This window comes from Homo sapiens, chromosome 2, assembly GCF_000001405.40.
Source record: "Homo sapiens chromosome 2, GRCh38.p14 Primary Assembly".
NCBI lineage: Eukaryota > Metazoa > Chordata > Mammalia > Primates > Hominidae > Homo > Homo sapiens.
This window is the reverse complement of record NC_000002.12, coordinates 35,157,392-35,163,883: the sequence shown is the minus strand read 5'-3', so window position 1 is coordinate 35,163,883 and position 6,492 is coordinate 35,157,392. Positions and strand designations below refer to the sequence as shown.

The following is a 6,492-nucleotide window of genomic DNA, read 5'->3' as shown; positions in this document are numbered from 1 at the left end:
ATTAATCAGCATACTGGGGTTAATTTCCAAATTCTGAGTACAACAGAGGATGTAGAATATTGTATTTATTGGGAGAGATAAAACTGGAAAGAAAAGAAAAGAAAGAAAAAAGAGTATTGTTACAATTGACAATGACACAGCATCCAGGAATGAGAAAACATTAAAAAGGGTTGGTTTATCATGCCACTTTATGCTTTCATATTAATGTGGCTGAGCTGTGATAGAGATACTTGGAGATAGAGAGTCCAGAAATAGTAAAGGCCAAGTGTAATTGCTCTTTGAGGCTTATACATGAGGAGGGTACTATTGGCCCAAAATAGAGATTCCAAACAGATCTGATATTAAAATATGAATCACATTTGGGTCAGGAATTCTATCCCAAATCTGGAGGTAGTAAATGGAAACATAGGTCTCTATCCAAGTGGTGAAAATATTCAAGGGAAGAGTTTTAATGTTCAAAAGGGTCCATATTAGATACAATAAAGTCTCAGAAAGTTGAGGCCCAAGAGATTGGTCCCTGGGTCTCCCTGGTCCCTGTTCCTTGGAAAAGGACCGGTGAAGTTGAAACGAAATTACTGTCTCCAGGCAGGAGGCTAACAGAGCTGGACCAGTACCTGGAAACCAGGCTATGAGATGTCAGAGAATAAACATCACATCTTACTCTCATATATATATTAAGTACCTGGAACACAGCAATTTAAAATGTTTGACAGAAAAAAAATAATGAAGCCAAGAAAGAAATTAAGTGTGGACCAGGCTTATATGTGAATGATTACAATTTAAAAAAATGAAGATTAATATATATGCTTACAGTTTATGCTTACCCGTGCACAGTGTGATTTGCAAATTAGCCTTAGTAGCTGAAGACAACAGGATAAATTTCAGAATCCACTCAATTGAGAGACTGAGCTTCCTTGCATATCTTCTGCTTTAGTCAAATGCAGAGTAGAAGTCTTCAGTTGGAAACAGAAAAGCTAGTTGGAGAATCCTGGACTGACATATCAAATCTTAGGACTTTCTTGATTCACTCTGGTACATACTTACCTTTATTTTCTGGATCCACGTGGCTATCCATCAATGTACATCCATCAAAATCTGCCAAAAATAACTACATTTGTAGAAATAATTAGAAAAAGATTTTTCTTGTATCCAAAATTATCCTTTAGAAAAAAAGAAGATTGCCTTACAGAGCTCCTCATGAAATAGAAAGTTTTATCAATTGGTTTATTTTCAACAACACTCTAGTGCTTGAGTTAGACCTTACAGGACACTCCTTGCTACTCAGTGTGGACCTTTCAGATCCTAGTATTAGCATCATTCAGGAACCGATTGGGATTGCAGTGTCCCAGGCCCACTCCAGTCCTACTGAGTGAAGATTTGCATTTTCTTAAGATCCTTAGGGGATTCACATCCACATTAAACTTTGAAAAGCAATGGCCTATTAATTAGTGTTGGCTTAGAATTGTATAGAGGCTTTCTGACTAAATCAAGTAGGAGGCCAAGAAATTTAACAGAGATTTAGTTATTTTTCTTTCTTAGTGTTGTAGTTTCACAACTGAAATCCTTTGTGTCAGTCTCTGTGTGTGTGGTGGGGGCGCGGGTATGTGTGTATGTGTATAATTTTTCTCTCAACCGTAGTGTTTGAACAAATAAGTAAGAATAAAGACTTGATGGGCCGGGCGCGGTGGCTCAGGCCTGTAATCCCAGCACTTTGGGAGGCAGAGGCGGGTGGATCACGAGGTCAGAAGATAGAGACCATCCTGCCTAACATGGTGAAACCCCGTCTCTACTAAAAAAAAAAACAAAAAATTAGCCGGGTGCGGTGGCGGGCACCTGTGGTCCCAGCTACTGGGGAGGCTGAGGCAGGAGAATGGCGTGAACCCGGGAGGTGGAGCTTGCAGTGAGCCGAGATAGCGCCACTGCACTCCAGCCTGGGTGACAGAGCAAGACTCCGTCTCAAAAAAAAAAAAAAAAAAGACTTGATGATAAAAGGAAACTCACACCCATGTTCAGTGTAGTGGAAACAACAGCAAGCAGTAGGACTGTAACTAATTGCAGATTTGGAGACTGAAGCTCCATCTCAAGGAGGCTACTGACACAACCCATTCAAATTGGAGCCATCTAAGAATGCAGCCCCCGAGTTGCCAGATCTTCAGATTTTTCAACATATAAAAAGAAATTGTTTCATGCAAAATTGTTCACTTGTATTTACATTTAATTAAATGTTATTTAAGAAAGAAAATAAAAACTACCCAGATCAACACTTCATGGACCATAAAGAGTCCAATGTTCAGGTTACTATTTTTTATCTGTTTTAGTATTGTTGAGTACCTACTTATTTGAAAATCCATGCCGTGTATTGTTGTTGATATTTTCTTATATTATTTTAAGTCTACCCTTAAAATAATACCCAAACCTATTCTTAGGAAACCTAATTTGAAGTCTTTGGTGTCAATAAGCTTCATAGTAATATTTGCAGGCTCTCTTTCACAAATAATATATATCTATAAACTTGTATTACCATTTATGTTTCTCTGAAACTGCTTACACAAAAAATATTTCAGAATTTCATTTATTGCAAGCTTGATATGTGTCAGTCACTCTTTTATCACTGTAGAAACTCAGTTAATCTTCAAAACAACCCTGAGTAAGCAGTATTGTTTTCTCTGTTTCACATTTAATTGAATCAAGGTCGAGGGTGGGGGGAAAGTATTCAGAAAAAAAGAAAACAGAGACTTCCTTCCTATTAACTCGGGACAGCTGAAGTCTCCAGGCTATCTAGGTGGTTTCTAACTTCTAGAGTTGCCAGAGGCCATCTTCCCACCTAGGCCAGCTTAAGTCCTGGAGCCAGTCAAATCTCTCTGGCAGCTAGATCGCTGCCTATCGAATTTCAGCCTTTCTTTCTTCTAAGGGAGGGCAGATATCACACATTTTCTCACTGTAAGAGTCATGTCTGACACTCCTATTAACAAAAGACAAATGAAAAGCATAATGTACTTAATCAAAAGTTTTGATTTATTTAATCAAAATCGTAATAGATTCATTTAATCAAAAGTTTATAGCAGCCTTCAGAATGAAGACCCAAAGATACCGGAAAAACTATTTATTTTTATGCTTAGATTCAGTGAAGAATGGATAGCCATGCAGAAATATGTTTGGACACAAAGGGTCTGATCTAATGCTAGTGGACAGAGGGGTAAACCCAACAATGCCTTTCTGTTCAGATCCTTCTGGACCTGTCTGTAGCATTCCTTCCTCCCATGTATGGGGAAGAGCTCCTTGGAAATGAGGGTCTTATGACCCACTATTGGAAAAAGATTATAACTAGAACTGCGGGCATATACAAAAAGCAATTTTGAGAGGATTTCAAAAAGTAAGCCAAACCAGAAAAATCTGAAGAGGTGACTCATATGATTGTGTTTCCCAGTTTTTATTTGTTGTCGTTGTTTTGGTCCTATTTTAACTCCCTGATATAACCATGCAACAAGCAGAAGGCAGCTTCAATGGAAGCAAAAACTCCAAGAGAAGCTTTTCTTTTTGTACAGAAGGTGAAGAAAGGGAGTACTTGGAAGAAGGTAAATATGGGAAAATCTGCCTGTTTTCATTTTTTTCTTTTTTATTCTCTTATAGTTTGGCCCTAGAGGCAGGTAAGCATTTTGAAGTTGCAGCTGCCATAGCAGCATAGAAAACTGAAGCTCCAAGAAAAACCCACAGTTTGTTGTGAGAGAAGAGGTAAAGGGACCTCATAAGACAGAGTATGAAGAGTGTTCCTTATAAAAGAGAACTGAAGATAAAACATCCCCTAAATCTGTGTATGAAATGGCCAAGCTCTCATGCTCAGGATATGTCCAACACTTGCAGGCTATAACTACATCAGCATAGCAAATACATGAAAAATAAACAATCATATAAACCACTGCTCAAAGTCCCAACAGTGCTACGTGCATGGAGCAAACCTAAATTAGCGCAGAATAGGTTTTGAAAACTGAATTGGTGCTAGTACTGCTGTCCACAGAAAGAAGACAAAACTGTGGTCTAAAACCACCTGGATTAATTGTCTGCTAAAACAAGACTAAACAGAATGAAACAAAAAGTTAGTATTCTTCAGAGATTTTTAACAAGACCTAGAATCTCACAATTTAGTATTCAAAATGTTTGAGATACCACCTAAAGTTATTAACACACAAAGAATTAGGACAATGTGAGAAGAGGGAAAGGGAAAAGTAGCCATTTCTCAAAGTTAATTGAAACCAACCTTGAGATGACTCAGATGTGGGAATTATCAAGGACTCTAAAGCAGCTATTATAACTGTGCTCCATCAAGTACAGTTATAATCCTGAAATAGATGAAGAGATAGACATTCTCAAAGAGACACAGAAACTTTAAAAGAACCAAATGCTAGTTTTGACATAAAATGTACAACATTGGACATAAAAATTTCACTGGATACCCCTAATAACACAATAAAGAAGACAGAGGAGAGACGTGGCTTTAGGATAGAGAAGCAGAAATTATTTCATCGAAAGCACAGAGAATGAAGATTACAAATAATAATAATAATGAAAAGGCAAATAAAACCGAGTCTTGGACCTGTGGACAATATTAAAAAGGCCTAACAAACATAACTATGGAGTCCCAGAAGGAAAGGACATTGAGGTGATTCAGAAAATTTATATGAGGAAATAATGACTAAAAATTCTAAAATTTTATGAAAAATATAAACTTACCATGTCAGGAAGCTTACAAACTCCATACGAAAAAACTCCAGAAAACCGTGGTCAGAAAAGTACTATGAAAGCCTGAAAACCAAAGCAAAATATTGAAAGTAGTCAGATAAAAATTACATATTATATGCCATGAAATAAAAATACAAGTAATTATGATTTTTTCATTAGTAACCATGGAGGCAAGCAGACAGTGGAACTTCTATAAAGTAATGAAAAGGAAAGCACTGTCAACCTAGAATTCTAAATCTGGCAAAAATACTCTTCAGGAATGAGGCAAAATAAATACATTCTTAAATAAAGGAAAAGTATGAAAAATTTTCAACAGCAAACATGCTATAGAAGAAATGCTAAAGCAAGTTCTTTATGCTGAAGTGAAATGCTACCACAGGGAAACTTAGAACTTCAAGAGGAACATAAACCAGTAAAAAGTAGTAAAATCTGGGTTAATCAACAGCTTTTCTTTTAATTTTTAAAAAATATAAACTGCCGAAAGCACAAGATATAACATTGTGTGGCAGAACTTCAGTGATTATAAATATAATACATAGAAAATTATAACATAAAAGGGGAAAATAAAGGGAGATACGGTTTTAAGTCTTCTACATTTTACTTGACATGGCATAATATTAAGACTTAGTAGTCTGTGAAAGGTGATATATATATTTTTAACCCCTAAAACTTCTTAAAAAATAATAAATATTAAAATCAAATACTAAATAAAACATTAAGATAATCTAAAGGAAAATAATTAAACAAGATTTTTCATTTAAATATTTTCATATACTTTAATATATGTATCTAAATAGGGACTGTTTAAGAGGATTGTACATTATGCATAATTTCCAAAATTACTTGACTCTGTAAACTAAATGCTTAGAGGAATATAGATGTGATATAAGCATAATTTATTATTCTAGTGCAGGAAGAAAATTGTATGAGATATTCAGTTCTACTGAAAAGATGATAGCTAAGTTTTCATTCAGTTTTATTTTCATTCTTCCATGTGCGCAAATGGAAATAGAATGAATTAATTATAAAGAGCTGGCACAGAACTTGACTGTCGATATTGACCCAATATATAGACAGTGTTTCTTGTGTGCCAACAGTTTATCTATATATGAGGATACAAACAATAATGCCATCAAAGCTCCTGCCCTCTGAGGCAATTACTTCTAGAATAATGAGATAGAAAATATACTTATATACAATTTAAAATTAAAACGTGACTGATTGTATTAAGTTATGTGACGAAAATAAAGTTGAGAAATATTGTAGAGAGTGATGTTGGATGGTAACACATGATACTAGAAATGAAGGATAAAAAGAAGGTATCCTTGCAGAAATATATGGGGAAGGTCATACCAGGGAAAGAAAGTACAACATTTAGCAGTTTGGTAGAAGAGAAGAACTGAACAAAAGACAAAACAAAAATGACCACTGAAGTAGGAAGATTTGTTGTTATTGAAATGAATGAAAGAAATCATTTCAAAAAAAGAGTGACAATTATATTATATGCTACTGATAGATTTCCTAGGAAAGAACAGGACATTTTTTATTGGCTTTGGCATAGGGTAATCATGGGTGACCTTGAAGAGAGATTCAATAAAATTGTGGATATAAAAGTTTGATTCGAGCTGGTTGCAGAGCAATTGGGAGATGACTAAGTGAATGCAGCAGGTACAGAAGTTGGAAGAGCTTTGTAATTAGGCTAAACAGAGAAATAGGAAAGTAGCTGGATAGAAATATGATGGCATGATTTAATAT

The 6,492-nt window shown here is 35.5% G+C and overlaps 1 long non-coding RNA gene across 1 annotated transcript; it reads right to left on the bottom strand.

The window, feature by feature from the left end:
• Positions 1 to 1,044: 1,044 nt before the first annotated feature.
• LOC107985808 (uncharacterized) lies at positions 1,045 to 4,800 on the bottom strand. The gene is made up of 3 exons (XR_001739188.1): positions 4,729 to 4,800; positions 4,256 to 4,337; positions 1,045 to 1,108 (listed from the first exon to the last, which is right to left on the bottom strand). It is a non-coding gene; the product is annotated as an uncharacterized LOC107985808 (long non-coding RNA).
• Positions 4,801 to 6,492: the final 1,692 nt, after the last annotated feature.